The sequence below is a fragment of the Homo sapiens genome, chromosome 2 (genome assembly GCF_000001405.40).
Source record: "Homo sapiens chromosome 2, GRCh38.p14 Primary Assembly".
NCBI classification, from domain to species: domain Eukaryota; kingdom Metazoa; phylum Chordata; class Mammalia; order Primates; family Hominidae; genus Homo; species Homo sapiens.
Window position 1 is genome coordinate 133,111,587 of NC_000002.12, and position 20,109 is coordinate 133,131,695.

At 38.0% G+C, this 20,109-nt stretch overlaps 1 protein-coding gene across 19 annotated transcripts in view; it reads right to left on the minus strand.

The window, feature by feature from the left end:
- Positions 1-20,109, minus strand: part of NCKAP5 (NCK associated protein 5) — a 1,003,049-nt gene that overhangs the window by 439,799 nt on the left and 543,141 nt on the right. For all 19 annotated transcript variants that reach the window (XM_017003975.3, XM_011511100.4, XM_047444134.1 and 16 more), the window contains one exon: positions 18,392-18,525. In XM_017003975.3, coding sequence (XP_016859464.1) covers positions 18,392-18,525 — 134 coding nt within the window. The remainder of the gene's footprint in view (positions 1-18,391; positions 18,526-20,109) is intronic.

Here is a 20,109-nt window from a genome sequence, read left to right on the forward strand (position 1 = left end):
CACACCCATGACCATCACCTCTCTCATAGCCCTCTGCCATGATTCTCATGGCAACAAGAACATTCTCTGTCATAGCGGCATAACCCTAAGCAGACTGGGCCCGGGTACCTTTTGGTGTAGGCAACATCCAGATAGCTGTTTCTTTCTCACTGTAATCATTTCCAATTTCATTCAAGAGCCTCATTCACACTGGGCTGTGATGAACATTTGGCTAACAGATTGCTTAAGTGAAAAACACAAGAGAGTGACCACAGAGTAAAAGATAAATTAGTGGAAAAAAATCACTTGAAACTTTCACTCTAGGAAGAAAGGGACATAGCACAGGATGAGTAATAGAATCTCCCCCAGCCCACAGCCACTGCCAATAGATACTAAGATTCCAGGTAAATTAAAAGAATACATGAGAGGTCACTGAAACAGAAATCCAGCTGGGAGACAGAAATGCAAAATTCTCTGTAGAAGAAAATGGGTAGACCAAGGGCAGTGCAACATATAGAAAAAACATGAAACTTTACAATTGGAAAAATACACATCAGAAGTTCTTACTGGTCTTATGACCTTAGCCCTCTGAGTCACAGTTTATTCATCTTTAAAATAGGTATGCTAGGTATGGCGTGGTGGCTCACACCTGTAATCCCAGCACTTTGGGAGGCTGAGGCAGGTGGATCACGAGGTCAGGAGATCGAGACCATCCTGGCTAACACGGTGAAACCCCGTCTCTACTAAAAATACGAAAAATTAGCCGGGTACGGCAGCATGTGCCTGTAGTCCTGGCTACTCGGGAGGCTGAGGCGGAAGAATAGCGTGAACCCGGGAGGCGGAGCTTGCAGTGAGCCAAGATCGCACCACTGCACTCCAGCCTGGGCAACAGAGTAAGACTCCGTCTTAAAAAAAAAAAAAGTATGCTGTTCACTGGTTAACTACAAGGACTACATGACAATACAGAGGCCTGCAATCACACACACCCTCCAATGTCTCTGGAACATAACAAAAACCACTATAAATATCTGTTAACAGTATAATTAGGAGCTACACTTCCAATGTTAACTTGCAGCTGAAACCATCAACTATCATTCACAAGAATGGCAATGCCATCTGCAGTAAGACTCAGAAGTATTGGAAACCCTTCCAAGCCTTTATGTAGACAGATGAGGAGCAGCCATTTGGTTTAATATACAATTATTGTCAGAACTACCCTATAATTTGCCTCCTACAAATATCCAAATGCCACTAAATGGGGCACAAGGTCACCGTGGTGGAGCAGACTGTCTCATAGCTGACTGTTTTATTTCTATTAGAGATGACCCAGGGCCAGATGTGTGCATGGAATCTTCTGCTGGCCTTACACTTTTAGCAAATGGATACGATGAAACGTGTCCCCAGATAACAGGCCATAGGGCAGCCAGGGCAGTTCTCCTTGCTGAATTCTGCTTCCAGCTGCTCCATGGGATGAAACTTTGTGTTCTAGGGAAGTTTTCTGTCAACTTGTCAAAACAGTCGCTCCGGCCACTCACACTTACATTTATGTTATAGGGCCCAAGTGTTTGGACAGTGACCCTACCTTGGGTGGTGCTCAGAATCCTCTCTTCCCCTAAGGATAGTTTACACAATTGGAGTTTTTTTTTTTTTTTCTTGAATATGTTTCAAGCTGGTGTTAATTCTACAAAACAGATGGGCAGCTAAATCTTTTGAAGTTGCTAAATATATTTTGAGAGCATATAATTTTTATACAACTAACGTTCAGTTTATATTTCTATCAGCTAAACTGTTATTAATATTTGCAAAAGCCAAATGTCAAAAGCATTTAAAAATGTCAAACCATGTGAACACGATTAGGGAAGGGTTTCTTGTAAGAATTGGAAAATTTCACCTAACGGTATTGTCTCTCTTATACCCAGGCACAAAATGCCAAGCTCCAGGTCCTGAGCTTCAGGGGGCTTCACTCCGAGCCTCCTCTAGCCATCCCCTTCCACCAGGTGTGGGTTTCCCTGCATCATGGGGTTATGCCCATGCAGAGTCTGTGCCTCCCCTCTGCCTCATGATGTTCAGGGTATGCTGAACCAGGAATTTGTTTCCAAATGGGCCCAAGCCTGCTTCCAGGACCTGCTGGGTATGTGTGCGCACCCAAGATCCAAAAAGTAGCCAAATGCTGGCAGCAGGCATGGGATGTGGACAGAGTATAGACATGACAGCTAGGGTGTACACACATGTGCACCCCAGGCCCTTAGTGGTAATGGGAACATGGAGCTGGGGGTGAGAGAAGAAAGGGAGCCAACCAAACCACTGGGCTGCAAGCTGGGTGTTAGGAATTGGCTGCCCCTGTACCAAATGGGCCAAAATGGAACTCCAAGGACTATGAGAATGCCATGCTTGATTCGGCCTTCCAGGTCATGATGAAGATACATTCATCAAGGAGAACACATTTTACATGGCATTTTATTTTGCTGACTTGGTTTATAACTTGTATATATTTAGACCCGTAGAATGTGGGCTGCCATTTATATACTCTTGTTCTAGGCCTTGTAAATATTAGGAGTAGGACTGCATCAGAGTTAGGTTTAGAAAATTATAGACTTGCAAATAAGAGTAATTGTATTAAGTTCTGTTAATTTCTTCAGCAAAACTAAGATTGCAACTAATAATCTATAAGAAAGCAGCATGTCTTGGAGGTATTCTCTTCTTTTATTTTCATAAAACATTACAAACATCTGCAAAAGTAAAGGTTCCAGTATAAGAAATGCTCACATGCTTGATTATAACCAACTCAAAGCCAATTGAGTTTCAACATTAACTCCTGATCCTCCCTCCAAATTATTTAAATTACATCACACAAGCATATCTTTTCAGCCATATTTATGTCAGTATGGATAGGTATGTCTTTTAAATATGTCTTTTAAAAAACATAGCCATATGTTATCACACCTAAAAACATGAACTATATCAAATATTCAGGGAGTAGACAAATATTCCAACCATATCTTCAGATTGTCTCATTTGTTTTCTTTTTTGCAGTATTTTCAAATCAGGATCCAAATAGGGTTCACCCAATGTCTCACGACACTATTCTTGATCTATAGGTTTTCTCCCCACCTCTTTTTTCCTTCCTTGTACTTTATTTGTTGAAAAAAACAGGTCATTTGTTCCGTAGAATTTCCCATAGTTTGGATTTTGCAGAACCTAGTCTTATAGTGTTTCCTATAAGTTGTTCATTGTATCTACAGGCTTGATGAGATTCAAGGTTCATTTTTTTGGCAAAGTTGCTTCATAGATAGTTTTGGGTATTTCCATCAAGAGACACAAGATGTATAAATGTCTCTCTCTGGTATGTTAGCACTATTTCTGATGCACTATTTCATTAAAAATTGCAAAATAGCTTCTAATTATATTCTTCTTTCTCCATTTATTAGCTAAAATTTCTTACAAAGGGAAACTTCTCTCCACTGAGGATGATTTAGTTACAGGTCTTAAAGACAGAATGCTTCTTTCTCATTGCTTATCAATTTTGAAAATAAAAAGTTGGTTTCCTAGAATCCCCTAAAGGTTTTCCTGGGGTTGTTTTGTATTATTATAAGTGAAAGGATTTAAACAAAAGCTGACATGCTTTAATACACTGCAGTTAGTATTCTTATTGATGTATGAATTGAGCTGTTTTTGATTGGTGGAAGACTTTTCAAATTGGATCCTGGACATTTTAACAACAGCCTCAGACTGCTATGACAAAAACAATACTACCTCTAAAAATATGACCACTAAAAGCAACGATATTTTGTGGATTTCTTTTTGTCATGAATATGGATCCCACTACAAGTGTACAAGCATCTGTTTTCAAGTCACTTCAAATGATTGTTCACTCTGTAGATTTGCCATCAATCACAATTGCAGTTAGATTTACTGGTTTTGCTTTCAATCTGGGGGAATTTTAAAATTAGATGTTATGTTACAATTTTATTAAACATGTAAGTATTTATAAAGTCAAATCCTCAAAACAAGGTTTATTAAGAGAAATTTAGCTTCTATTCTTTTCCCATCCCATCTTCTCTCTTTCTATTTAAAGTTAACAACTTCTTAAGACTTACATCATTCTTCCAAATACATCTCTTTCTGTATGTTTGTTTACATGTGTGTGGACATACACACATGTACAAATTCCATTTATCTGGAGGTAAATTGAAGTATATATGTGTGTGTGTATATATATATATATATATATATATATATATATATATATATAGTGTTCACACACACACACACACACACGCCCTTCTCAACCTGGTATGGAGATTGGTGATTTGCTTTTTCCGGTGATTGATTATTTTGTTTTACATGAAAACAAGATTGAAATATTGAAAATGAGGAACTCTAGATAAATATTTTTTGTAAAGTAGTGCTATGGAAATGATGTTGAACTCTCTAAGTCACCATATTTAAATCTACCATTCACTTCAAATTTAACTGAAGATCAATTTCTCCAATTGTTAAGGGTTCATTAATCAAGTAATTCTGGAAAAGGGCATATTGATATTTGAACTTAATTATTACGAAGTTTTATAAGTTTTAGAATGAACTTGAAAATGTATGTCTAACTTTTTTGTAACTTACGCAAAATAAGAAAAATTTGTGGCCGGGCGCGGTGGCTCACGCCTGTAATCCCAGCACTTTGGGAGGCCGAGGCGGGCGGATCACGAGGTCAGGAGATCGAGACCATCCTGGCTAACACGGTGAAACCCCGTCTCTACTAAAAATACAAAAAAATTAGCCGGGCGTGGTGGCGGGCGCCTGTAGTCCCAGCTACTCGGGAGGCTGAGGCAGGAGAATGGCGTGAACCCGGGAGGCGGAGCTTGCAGTGAGCCGAGATCGCGCCACTGCACTCCAGCCTGGGCGACAGAGCGAGACTCCGTCTCAAAAAAAAAAAAAAAAAAAAAAAAAAAAAGAAAAATTTGTCAGTCATGCAGAACATACCTCAAGCAATTAATAAATACACTGATATATTCTCAAAGACACTGGAAGAAAAAACTTTAGTAAAACGGTATATATCTAAAACTATATACTTGCTCCAAACATAAATATTGCACTGATGCAAACACTAAATTTTTGAGAAGCTTAACATATATTAATTTTTGTAGTGTACAACAGGAAGAGAACCCTTAAGGGACAGACAGACCTGACTTAAATCCTGATTCAGCCATTAGTGGCTGTGTGGCCTTTGCAAATTGCTTAACCTTTCTGGGCTTTATTTTCTTTATTTATCAAATATGGATGCTAATAGTTCCTCACTGGTCTATAATCAATAAGATTATTTGTTTAAAGCATGTAGAAACACAACTGGTACAAGGCCAGTGCTCAATAATATTAGCTCACTTGTTCTTTTGTAGACAACATACATAGAAGACAGTATGAATAATGGTTAAGACCTAGGGTATCTGAGTTCATACAACAGCTACAATACATCCAAGCAGTATGAAGATGGGCAAGTTATTTAACTCATGGGAGCCTCAGTTTCCTCATCTGTAAAGGAGAGAGGCTAAGAATATCTTCCGTAGAGGACTGTTTTAAGAATTAAATTACATGTAATATTATAGTTCGTCTAAAAGGAAGGGATGCTTATTTGTTTCATTTCACTGTTATAACACTGGTACCTAAAATAGTGCTGGCACTTGGTAATTCTCCTTAAGTGTTAATAAAAAATAAATGAGATAACTGTTCGAATCTCACGTATTTCATGTTACTTTCAAGTTGCTGCTTTTCACATCTAAGAGTTCTTTCCTCATGCTCTGAGACTTAGTCCTTCGCCTCTCCGGATTTTATTAAATGATGGATGTTCTCACTGTCAGTGTAATCTCCAAGGTCCTGGCCTTTCCTGAACTGGGGTTTGGGTGCACTGAGACGGTAACTACAGCCTTACTACCCCACTACTCAATTCTTTACTCAAGAGAGGCTGCTTAGAAAGTCTGGGTCTGCAGAATCTCATAGTGATTCCAATCTATTAGATCTGTAGGATATTTCCGGATAACATATCATGTGCTTTGGTGATTGTTTCTGAAAAGGCAATAGACTTGTAAGTGTTCTATGTGTCATGCATATTGGAAGTACACTAAATATATTACTACTTCACTGGGGACTCTCTTGACAATAATGTGAATTGCTGAGGGAACAGAAATCAATTTTTAAAGTGTTTCTGACATCAAAGGTGACCGCTGGGCTTCAGGAAAAGAGTTCAAAGTAAGATTGACTTCGTGATTGAGATATTCATAAGACTCACACTGCAAAGGTAGGTTGGGCATTCTTCCACTGCCCAAGATGCAAGCGAATGATGCAGGCAGATTCCAAGCTGAGTTTGCTGAGATAAGGGCCTCCAAGGAACTGAGTTCCGGCAACATGCATTGTGAGTACCCATACCATCAGGTCTGTCTTTGTATTCTGTTCTCTGAACCTAAAATGCCCCTTCTTCAGTTCTCTATTAAACCCTCTTCACCTGCACATGCTTCAATACTCATCTCAAATGAATCCATTTCTGGCTGGCAGAGTTTTTCATCTATCATTTTTTTCTCCCTGTCTTATAGCAAATATTGGATCCTAACCTTAGTTATTTTCACATGTAACTCTTTTTTTTACCCTACGATCCTTGGCAACAGGGGATATGGCTTACTTATTTCTGTGTCTCCACACCTTGCTTAGCATAGAGCCAAACCAATTTTTTTTTTAATTATCATACTTCAGGTTTAGTAGTATCTGCAAAAAAAAAGTATTCTTTATACAGTATTATCTAAGTGGAAATTTTATTTTAAAATTCAATAGAAATAATATAAATTAGATTTTTTTTAAATCTCAATATGATGGACCAGGTTGGCCAAATACCATCCACAGTGAGGGTTATTAAACGGTAGATTCAAACAGCAGCATGGTCCATCAGAAATAATACTTTATTCATTTACTTCACCATTTATTGTGCACCTACTATGTGCCAGGCTAAAATCATAAGCAGCTTACATTTTACAAAGGGAAGATATAATATGCAGCTGCAAAATGCCAGCAAGAAAAAAATATAATTTTGTGATAAAAGTCTGTAATCAAGTGAGTAAAGTAGAATATTATAAAAGGCATCAGGGAGATGGTGAATTTGGAGCTGGATTTTGTTAGCTAAACACATATTGTCCAAGCCAACAGCAAAGGGAAAATTTGGGCCATCTTAGCTACATTAAATGGCTACACAGTCCATGTCATAAATGCAATTATAAGTTGATGGTGGTCTATGTATTTGGAAACACTGACTCAATCTTCAGCAAAAGTGGTTTGAAAATGAAATGGGAAAATACACTAAGCAAGCAGAGACCATAAAAGAGGCACTAATGACATAAACATTCAACCTTCCTTACAAACTTTGAAACAGAAAAATGGTGGTTGCCCAGTTTTTTGTTGTTGTTTGTTTGTTTTTGAGACGGAGTTTCCCTCTGTTGCCCAGGCTGGAGTGCAATGGTGCAATCTCAGCTCACTGCAACCTCTGCCTCCTGGGTTCAAGTGATTCTTCTCCTGCCTCGGCCTCCTGAGTAGCTGGAATTACAGGTGACTGCCACTATGCCAGCTAATTTTTGTAGTTTTTAGTAGAGATGGGGTTTCACCATGTTGGTCAGGCTAGTCTCAAACTCCTGACCTCAGGTAATCCACTTGTTTCAGCCTCCCAAAGTGCTGGGATTACAGACGTGAGCCACCATGCCTGGCCCAGTTTTCCTTTTAATTTGCTATAATTGTATCTATCCCACTGGCTCAAGAGTCTCTTAGGTGCAATCTCAGCAGGGTGATAATAATTAAGTTCAAGAAATTCTGTAGGTGGCAGAGCATGTCAATCTATGAGAAAGGATGAATTCTGCATGAAATACAATTGCTTAGATCAGTAGGGTAAATATAGTTTAAAACAATCTATTGTATATTTCAAAATAGCTAGAAGAGAATAATTTGAATGTTTCTAGCAAAAGATAAATATTTAAGGTGGTAGAAATCCCAATACCAGTAATTTCCTATTTTCAAATTATACGAATGTATTAAAATATCACTTGCACTCCAAAATTATGTACATCTATTATCTATCAATAAATTTAAAAAACCTCCACTTTCTATTACAGATTATAAACTACAAAACAAATAAATGATGGAACAGAAAGAGTGTGTGACCAGAAGTCAGAAGCCCTGGGTTCTGGGTTGGGGTCCACATAGCCATGTGATCATAAGCAAGTTACCTCATTTTTTAAGCTTCAATATAATATTTATTATTATTAATATATATGATTCGATATCATATAATAGGCTCTCCCTATCATATGTAAGGTTATAATGAGAAATGAATGAAATAACATAGGGAATGATTTTGGAAATGATAAAACATAAAAGTAAAAAGTACTGTCATTTCTGTAACCATGGGGATATCAATATTAATTAAAATGCTTATTATAAAACACAACTGCTAAAGCGGTTACAGAAAATAAACAAGGAAAAAGAAACGTATATTTCTGTCTTGAGAAAATGCATGCTGTCAGTTGTTACTCCTGCAAATGACAGGTGAAAACCTTTGGTCAGGAGAAATGTGCAAAGAATTCTGAAACACAGTTTAATGAAAACTACAACACATTTCTTTTGTCAGAACCCCATAGCTTCAGCATAGCTAATTCTCTGCTTCATTCTTAAGAAACATTCTTAAAAGCTTGAGGCTGTTTGTTAGCAACAGATGTAGACATTTATAAACAAGGACCATCTTAACAGAATTATTTCTCACGAATTAAATAAAGGATCCCAAAGAATGGTTCCAACTGTTTACAGTTAGCACTTAGACTTATACTATGTGGGAACAGTGTTCATTAAATGCACTGCCTATGGACCATAAAGGTAATCAGAACAACAATCTATACTACTGGGACTGCTGCCTCTGCCTCTGCCCCATATGCAAACCTTAGAGAGATTGGTATAAATGTTATCTGAGAGCCATAAAACACTCTCAGAAAGTAAACTTTAGCTTATGGGAAGTAAACCTTCAGTTCACCAAATTCCATTTAGTGCCCTGCAGAAAGAATTCTGCAAAGAGTATTCTGAAAGAGGCAACTCATCTTTTATAGGTGAGCACTCCATCACAGAAGCCCAGAGATGAGAAATCAGGTCTTCATCCTCCCAGGCCATCACAGTTTATAACTCTAAGAATGATGACTATTATCAAAACTTTAAAGATCCCCAGAAATGGCCATTCTACAACCTCCCTTGGAAGCAAATTTCTGTCATAAACACACTATCTGTAAAATTCTTCTATATGCTTAACCTAAGTCTAGCAGAATTCTGGCTGCATCTTTCTACTTTAGTGAAGATATTCATTCATTCATTCTTCAATCAACAAATTTTTTTTTAATGCTTATGATGGCAAAGGTTATTGGTGATTGTATAAGAGAGGAACAGGGGAACAAACAATGTCCCCTGGATAGGCAGCGACCTTTAACTCTTTATTTAGATCACTATTAGGAGCAATGTATGAAAATAACTGCCAATTTGTAGAAAATACCGATGCCAGAAAAACATGGTGCCCAGTCCCAAGTACGGTAATCAACAAAACTTAGACTGTAGGAAACTCTACAGGTCCAATATTATAGGTCTTTAACGCATAAAATATGAAGGAAAAGGAAGGGATGGACAGTAACCTGTAGGTTCAAAGAAACTTAAAAGACATATCCAGTTGTTTTTTTAACAGATGCACAAGACTAAACTGAAGGGTCTGGGAATGCACATTAAATGATGACACTATTAAAAACACAGGAGGGTTATTGCCATAAGGTCACACTAATAGCTTATTGGAAAAAGATAAAGGTTGAGGCTGAGAAGAGGTACCCAGATGGGATTCTGGGTGGCCGGCAGAGTCTCCTTTCTTGACCTAGCGTTGGTTACAAAGCCATTCACCTTAGAATTATTCCTTAAGCCAGACATTTATTTATTTTGTGTGGCTTCCTTTGTCTATGTTTTGTTTTTGAAGAAGCATGTATGGATATGAAGCAACTAGAGCTCCTATACATTGCTACATTGCTAGTAGAAATGCAAAAAGGCACAGATAATTTGGAAAACAGTTTGGCAGTTCCTTATGGAATTAAACAAATGCTTACTATATGGCTCTGTGGTCCCACCCTAGTTATCTTCCCAAAAGGTAAACACTCTAAGACCTGGACATGAATGTTGATAGCAGCTTTAATCACATTCACTCAAAACGGGAGGGAATCCAAATGTCTATCAACAGGTGAATGAATAAACAAATAGTAGTATATCTACATAACAGAATACTATTCACGAATAAGAAAATGAACTACTGATTTTTGCAAAAACATGGACACATCAAAAAAGAATCACACAAAGTCAAAGAAGCCAGACCAAAAAGTTCCATACTTTATGACTTCGTCATTTATAAGCCTTTCTGGAAAAGGCAAAACTATAAGGAGAGAAATAAGACTAGTAGTTACCAGGGGCTTGGGAGGGAAATGAGAACAAAGAGGGAGGGAGAGAACTGGTCCAGGACATGAAAATATTCTGTATTTTAATTGTGGTGGTAGTTACATGAGGGTCAATGATTGTCCAAACTTATCTAAACTATAAACGTAAGAAAAGTGGATTTTCTATAAACCACACCAAAAAATAAAACATTTATTATTGAAAGTAGAAATCAATTCAGTTTTCAGTTTTAAAACATTATTCTGTATCTCACACATTTTCTTAAAGGAAAAAATGTGTTGGAGTAGGAACAGTAATGTATCAGAAGTTATAATATGTTATTAAAACATATTTAGAGGAGAGACTAAATCATTGGTATTTTTATTGATGGCTCTTTCTTCAGAGAAATTGTTAAAAAGTGAAAACAATTCTGGTTGTCATAAAGTTATCTCTGTTTAGACTTTTTACCAAACCAGTTCAAATAAATCCTAAAGTGGACAACATCAGAGCCAAGAGCAATCTTGGTTATATGTTCACAGCAGAGTATCTTAACTTCCTTTTGCCAGCCAAGTTCCCCAGTATTTAATTTTGGCTGTTCCCAACAGAAATTTTTCATCTAGGCTCGGCAGTTTTCTAATCTCAACTTCTCCAGAGTCAAGTAACCAAAATAGACATGGCCAAAACCCAGTCCCACAGAGCCTCCCTGTGATTACAGCATGGACAATAAGACAGTCTCCTCCAAGACCTCAACATAAAACTCATTGTTAGAATCTTCAAGAAGGCCTGGTTACAAATGTGAAATTATTACTTCACCCAATAAGTAAGTACATTTCATTTCTAATGCAGGGCCTTTTAAAAAGCATAAAAAGCATTATAAAACTATAATGCAATTGAATTTACTCATGTTACAGATGAGCAAATTGAGACCCAAAAGGGTCAAATTACTTAACCAGAGTTATTAAGCTACTTAGAGGTACACTGACACCAGGTCCTGGACAACCCATTAAATAAGATAGTGCTCTTTGCAATGAAATTGGAACTATACTCTGTGTTAATACTGTTTTCTCTACAGGGATGAATAATAGGCAACATGACTTTCACGTTGTCTACTCAAAAACATATACCTCTTTAAAAAAATTTAAGAAGAAACATGTGACCATTTCATCATTTATTAGGCAGAAAGAGAAATACAAAACAATAAAGTAATGTTCAGCTTTCAGTAAGTTAGTATTTGCCCAAGGAGCCGAAAACAGCCTTTCTTTCCAGTTTGCTACATAATTGGTTTTGGCTTTCCTTTGCATTGCTTAAGGGAGAGCTTACATGCTAGATCACTAAGATACAAACTTCTGACACCAAAATATGATCCATATTATGTTATCCAGGCATTTTAAAAGAGGTCATTTAAAATCTTTTCTTCCATCTGTTGTAATTTGAAGAAAATTTATCCTTGAACCAATGTTGCTTTACCATCTTCAACTTCTGGTAGATTCACACAGAGCAGCAGATGAGAGGCCCCAATTTTTATGAAAAGTCTCAGGCAGAAATATTGCTGATGATGTGGAAATAGCAATTCCAAATCAACAGAAAATTGCCCTCTGTATTCATCAGGAGGAGCAAGGCACTCAGGAGAGCCAGCCTCTGAGACAGGTCAAAGTTGACGAACAGTCAGACATGGGAACAAGTGCAGAAGAGGAGAAGAGCTCTGTGCTGATGCTTGTCCAAAGGTCAATTGACAGCTTTTCTCATCTTGTTACATTTTCCTCCTTCTAAAGATGCAGAGAAAATGTTCTTTTAATGTACCAGATACAGAAGCAGAAGGGAGTACATGGGTAGAACATTTAAGGGCATATTATCCTCTTCAACACACACTTCTATGCCAGGTGCCTACAGTTTCCAAATGGGCAGCAGAAAATGAACCCTAGGATTCCATAAAGTCTCTGAGAACCGATAATGTGAACAGCAATGAATGAACGAGTTAAGCGGTAAAACCATCTCCATTTACGACTCCTTGAAGTTCAGCATGCAGCAGACTGCACTTAAGCACAGCAATCAACTGTGATAGGAGAATCCCCATTACAGTAAGTAAAGAAATAGCTTCAAGGCTGTGGATGACGGTGCCAGGGGAGAAGGTCAGAACAGGTGCAAAGAAATCCTGAAGGTAGGGAGTGAAAGCTTGAGTTCCATGTGGGTGATTTTTAACTATCCTGGTCAAATATGGGTGGCAAACCTTAATTATTCCCCCTTATTTAGAGGTACAATGACTGGTGTAAACACACAAGGAACATTTCAAGGCTGAAGAGGCCTGAAATCAAGTATCTTTATTCCTGATATTTGGGTTGTAAAATGGTTTGCTAAGAATGTTTACAAATTATGTCCGCCAGGTGCTAAATCTCCCAGATCAATTTTAATTTAAATCTTCAAACACGCTGCAGCACAGAGCTGTGACACAATAAAATGTGTAGTATTACTGTTGTCACTATGCAATCATTAATTTCATCTGACTATTCATGCCTCAGCATAATAAACCATTAACAAGTATGAAGTCTGGCTGTTCTGAATCTGGACAGAAGTCCTCTTTATTTACAGCTAAGCTATAAATACGGTGTTTTGTTCATATATGTACGTAAGACTTCTCTATCTAAATTCTACTTTTTCTTGAGGGCATAAACGGTGTTACTAGGCACACAATAAAAGTGTTTGTTTCCTGTTGAAAATAGCAGCTTTCATTACTAATCTACAAACTGGGCCTGGCATGGTGGTTCACCAGCACGTTGGGAGACTGAGGTGTGAAGATCACCTGAGCCCAGGAGTTTGAGACCAGCCTGGGCAACATGGTAAAACTCCGTCTACCACAATTACAAAAATTAGCCAGGCGTGGTGACACGCACCTATAGTCCCAGCTACTTGGGAGGCTGAGGTGTGAGGATGGTTTGAGCCCAGGAGGTGTAGGCTGCAGCGAGGTGAGGCTGCACCACTACACTCCAGCCTGGGGAACCTGAGCCAGACCCTGTCTCAATAATAATAATCATCATCATCATCTACAAGTTGATTAGATTATTTCCAAAGGGACCAACAGAGATACCTTTGCAAATCCTGCATGATATGCACAATTATATATATGAAATTGGTACTCTGTAGAGTTGCTTATCTCCTCACTTTATCACCTAAGTGATCCCATTACTCTACCTTTTTTTTTTTTTTTGTAAATCACTGTTATTTCAACTCAACGTACCCCACCCTAACTTGGAGACAATATTCCTCAAAGTGCTCCTCTAGGTGAATCTAACTGATACACAAACACTTCATTACCTCAACATGGATAATAAATCCAGGGGTCCAAACAGTGATTGTCTTTACATACAAGGGAAGACAGTTCCATAGTCTCATCTACAGCATTCACCTTGGCTGTCTGGACAATCACAATTCAAACAAGCGGTTAGAGGAGTGGGGAGAGTGGGAAGAATTTGGAATTTTAGATAGTTACAAAGCTAACCCCTCATAAAATATGCCCAGCCACACAGACAATGGGTTAAACAATCACTTTCACATCTGGAAAGCACCTTTGATGTATATTGCCAAATAATAAGATAAAGTGGCAGCCCTAAGATATCACCACCTGCCTCTAACTACTACCTTATTGAAGTGCTCTCTCAACTGTGAAGGCTTAATTTGCAAGTACCTTTCTTTATCCATATTTACATTAAAGAATGTAAATGGTCTGAACCAAGTTTGTTATGCCTGTCTGAATCACCCTCATTGCAGGCAATTTCTGATGTATGAGCTTATGGCTGATTAGGTAACCTCTGGTGGCATATCCAATTTTTTTTTATTGCCTAAATTTGGACCATTTCTGATCATTATAGCCTAATCAGAGGTCAAGAGGGAAGAACAGATTGTGGCTGAAGGTTTGGTGGTGATATAAAAAAAAAACTACTCATTCAAGCATTTGTATAGATTTTTATCACCTCAGCGATCCCATTACTCATTAATAGAGACAATCACAAATGTTCAGGCTTGCCTGGTGCCTTCAAGCCATCAGGCTCATCACACAGCTGAAACTGCATAAAATTAAGCCATGGACCACCTCTCCTGAATCACTCATCCTGACACCTGAACTCTACTTCCCACGTGTACCTAACTGTCCCAGCATCTAACTTCATTCTCCGCTTCTCCCTCCATTGACTCACCTTGTTACTGAAGCTGAGACTGGGAATCCCATAACTACTGTTTAGAGACTCCCATGCCTACAAGGCCATCAAACATACCAATAAAACACATCACCCAGCCTGGGCCAGGCGTCAGCATCTTATGCCTCTGTTTCCCACATTCATAGTATTAGAAAAGCACATGTATATATCTGGAGATTCCCATGAATCTGAAGTAGAATGGTTGCCCTGAGAACTTTAAGCACCAGAGTACCGGAGTAGTTCCTATTTCACTTGTGATCTCTTAGACATGACCCAGCATTCTTATTCCATATATTAGGAAATTGAAAAACTGCTCAACTTTCCAGATATAAGTGACATAGTGAAAGCAGCAGCCCTTGCAAGAATTAATCCTAATTTGCACCATTTTGGGCCACGTCTACTGTATCCTTCAGTGTCTTCTATAAAGTGTTCTATGTGATACATTCTATTATGAATTTATTAACAGAGATAATATTCCTCTCTTTAAGGAGTAGTAGCCTTTGGCCATGAGATAATAATTACATATTACTTGTTTCTTTTTTTCTTTTGATCTTGTCTGCCAGGAATCTTAGAGCTAAATTACATGCTCATACTCAGAAAACTTGTTGGGCTATGTGAAGGTGATAACTTGCCACATTCTCCTTTCATGACCTTTATTTTGTTTTTATTTTATCAGCCCTATTGTAAATCTACCTTTTATTGTAAGCCATACCACATTCTTTGAGAAAGTGGTTATTAGCTTAGTTTTTAAAAGTAACCTCAGCCCATGAACAATGTTCAAAAGTAATTTCACATCCCAGATATCATCATGCACAAAATGAACTCATTGGCCCAAGAGAAAAAAAGAAAAAAATTATGAATATAAAGGTTTCTAATTCAACAGAATAATTTATATTATGGAAATTATTTAGATGACCATATTGGATGCTAACCCCGTCCAAGGGTGATGCAATAAAGGCTTATTCTATAATATTGAGAATTTTTCAAAGACTTAATAAGATTATTTAAACATAACTAGAAATATCTTAAAAACCAAAGTTTAAACTGTGAAAGGCCATCAGAAATGGTTCAGTAGGTCTACTCAAATTATTGTGTAATTATCTGTTACATATGCTTTTCCCCTCCATGTCTTTTACTGATTTGCATTAGTTCTCTGGCTGTAACTGGACTTGAACTTTTCAGTTTCAATGACACTTTACATGAGAAAACTAATTATAATAGGATAAAAGTCCTTCACAAAAGAAGTATGTAAAAACCAACCACTACTTATTGTACACATAATTATCTTCTCTTTCAGCCTAGGATGTAGTCTTGGCTCTTGTGTAACTTAAATCTGTAGGGGATTGGCATCTGATTTACAGCAGAAGACCCAGCATCATATGAATATAATTTACTATGCCATGTGTCTCCTGCCACCTAAATCTATAGCTTGAATATAGAGACATCTCAATTAGACAGTGCAAAGAGAGCAAGATCTGCCTCCTCCTATCCTGTGCCATTAAAACAACCAATATTACCAAGCAGTGCTTGTTTTAAATTCACTTTGGAGGGGTGGATCTATTATTTTAAGTTGGTTAGGAGACACAAAGGGAGAGTTGCCATCAAACTGAATGAAAAATCGAGCATAAGGTGATATAAGTAATAGCCTATGAGGGGTGGGACATGCATTTATTAAAGTATTGATTGGTGTATTTCTATAGCACCTGTGTATTATCATGGACTTGAGGAGTTGAACTGGTGTTAAATTATAATGCTGACCACACAGGAGTCATCCATCCTTCTTGTCCTGTTCCTCCATGAACTCCTACACCAAAGTTGAAGCACATACACAGTATTGGCCATAATGAGGTAAATTATCTGGAGGCTCAACTGTGTTTGTTCTCTCCCTGCAACACATCTAAAAATTAAGCTGTCATTATAAAAACTTCATAATGACAAAGCTATATTATTTATCACCGGTCACAGTGTTCTCCAAATCCTGGTGAAAAGTTAAAGACAAGACCCACACAGTTTTCTCATGACGATTTTAGGGCAACTTCTCAAACATGGATACTGCCTGGGATAATCTCAGGAGAGAAAAGTGAAACAAATTATTTTCCTGATTTTATAAATGGTGAAGTATAGAAATGAATGCAGATTGTCCTTCACAAGGTTCCTATATCTGGTCCCAAGGCTGTAAATGCACAGTTTTCTGGGGGATTCCTCCCATGGAATTGAAGGGATTTTAACATAATAGTTTGAACCATCACCTACCCTCATATTAACTATAATTGGAAACTGAAAGATTCCAACTGCTAGAATTAAATCTAGGAGCTACTTTTTCAGAATCTTCCTTTCAAATTCTTTGAAAGAGAGATTCTAGTGATCTCTCTCTCTCTCTTTTTTTTTTTGTTTTTGTAATGGAATCTTGCTTTGTTGCCGAGGCTGGAGTGCAGTGGCGCAATCTCGGCTCACTGCAAACTCCACCTCCTGGGTTCAAGTGATTCTCCTGCCTCAGCCTCCCGAGTAGCTGGGAATACAGGCACCTGCCATCATGCCCGGCTAATTTTTGTGTTTTTAGTAGAGATGAGGCTTTGCCATGTTGGCCAGGCTGGTCTTGAACTCCTGACCTCAAATGATCCGCCCACCTTGGCCTTCCAAAGTCCTGGAATTACAGGCGTGAACCACTGCGTCTGGCCACATTCAAGTGTTCTAGTGATATCTTTTTAAGGACAGAAACTCACTGATTTTTTTTTTTTTTTTTTTTTTACTACTCCTTAGTGTTTCCTCTAAGCAATGAGGAAGAGTTTATTGAATCATTAGAGTCACATACTCTCTCTTTGTCTTAAAATAGGATTGCGATGACCACTGAAATCTCATCCTTTTGGCTGGCCTTTTTTTTTTTTATTATTATACTTTAAGTTTTAGGGTACATGTGCACAATGTGCAGGTTTGTTACATATGTATACATGTGCCATGCTGGTGTGCTGCACCCATTAACTCGTCATTTAGCATTAGGTATATCTCCCAATGTTATCCCTCCCCGCTCCCCCCACCCCACAACAGTCCCCGGAGTGTGATGTTCCCCTTCCTGTGTCCATGTGTGCTCATTGTTCAATTCCCACCTATGAGTGAGAACATGTGGTATTTGGTTTTTTGTCCTTGTGATAGTTTGCTGAGAATGATGGTTTCCAGTTTCATCCATGTCCCTACAAAGGACATGAACTCTTCATTTTTTATGGCTGCATAGTATTCAATGGTGTATATGTGCCACATTTTCTTAATCCAGTTTATCGTTGTTGGACATTTGGGTTGGTTCCAAGTCTTTGCTATTGTGAATAGTGCCTCAATAAACATACGTGTGCATGTGTCTTTATAGCAGCATGATTTATAATCCTTTGGGTATACACCTAGTAATGGGATGGCTGGGTCAAATGGTATTTCTAGTTCTAGATCCCTGAGGAATTTTGGCTGGCCTTTTAAAGGACAAGCCTACTGGCTGCAAAGCCACCACAACTCACTTGAAGACCCTTAGGAAAGCCATCAGGAAAGAAAAGACAACCAGTTTCAATAAAGCTCATGTCAGGTACAAATGGAAAGTTTCAGAAAATTGGTCTGAATGCCATAGGATGCTTCAGTCAGAACAGAAGGTCTAAATGGTTGGTAAATTAGCTCATCAAACACAACAGAAGCTTACTCAATGGACATTCAATCCAAGGTGTTACTGGTGCAGAGAGAGATGCACCTCAGGAAGCAATCTGCTCAGCTAAGAACAATACCTGGAGAACTGCTGCTGCAAGCTACGCATCTGAATTCTGTTGCGTTCAGACTCTAGGGTCACCTCCTGCAACCGCTTCTCGCTTTGAAGACGTAAGTGTCTCTCCTCTTCCAGTTCATGTATCAGCTTCTCATGCTATAAAAGACACAAAGGGGATGACTTTTAGGAAGGTGTTTATGACAAAAATAAGAAATAGCTGGTTATCAAGTGATAACTTGAGCTTTATATATATGAATTTCATCCTTTGAACAACCCCACGAAGTAGGTCCTATTCTTAATCTCTTGTTATAGACAACGAAACCAAGGATCAGAGACACCTAAGTAATTTGTGCAAGGTCATATAAACCAGAAGGTAATAGATCTTGACTCCCAGGTGACTTAATTCTAACACTTGAATAATTTCCACTAACCCAGAGAGCATCCTGTGAAGAACTATGACCCAAAAATACTATTGAATGCACAATAAGTCAGATAATAATTAGTAAGATTATTACCTGTTCAGAATTATTTCATCTCTTCCATCTCTGGTATATCCTTGAAAGAGAAAATTACTACTTTTATAGAAGGACCAAAAATTTCAAGTTAATTAGAATGTGAAGCTGATGAGGGTGAGGCTCAAGAATTGTTTTTCATTTTGTCCAGTTAGGTCTTCAGATATAAAACTAGGCCAAGCCACCCACTGTTTTTATAATCCTAGATAACTAGCTCATCTCACGAACGGGTATCAGGGACTGAAAGAGGAACTGGATGACACAGAATAGACGGTTCAGCAGAAACTCATTCCTGGAACTGGTAAAAAGCACACAGCTCAGATCCTCCTGATAGCACTGAGTCAGCTACACTAATGTCTTTGTTGTTTTGTTTTTGTTTTGTTGTTGTTGTTGTTGTTGCCTTTTTTAAAAAGCATGCCATGCTGTTATTGTTACTGCTGTTACTACACTAAGCATTTTGTACACAGGATATACACTCTATGATGAAAACTATACATGCAATGTCTGATCATGAGGGACATATATACTTAAAAGGAAAGAAGGCAAACAGTGACCTCTGTTTTGAAATAAACCAAACACTATGACTGTGTACCATGCACTATGGATTAAATATGATTCATCTCATGTGGCATATTCACAGGAAGTGATAGCAATGACAGATTTTCTCCAGCTCTAACTCATGAGAAAAAAGGCATTCTGAGGATCATGAAAGAAACATTAGACTAGAATCTAGATGTGAATCCTGATCCTCTAAAAATACTTACACATCCTCCTGCCTCTGTACCTTTGTTCCAGCGTGAAAAGCTGCCTAGGTCTCTCGGTTGAAAGCCTAGGGTTCCTTCCAGGCTCAGTTGCAAGCCATGTCCTCTACAACTTATCCCTCATCACTGCATTTCCTCCCTTCCCTGAATTCCAACATCACCTACCATCTTTACCACCCTTTAGGTCTTTACTTTTTCTACTGTTATTTTTCATGTGAATTTATCATAATTCTCCACCTGGATAAATATTTGTTCAAGATGCCTTATGTGCAGATATATTTTACATTTTTAGCACATTACCTAATATGCAGTAGTGCTGGAAATATATTTGTTTATTGATTCTGAAGCTGGCCTTTTGCTTACTCAGGCCTGACTTTTTGATGGTCTACTTTTAACTCCCATAATCAGTTACTTTTACTGAAATCAGAAAAACTAAAATCAAAATTAAAATCAAATCTTTATTCTGT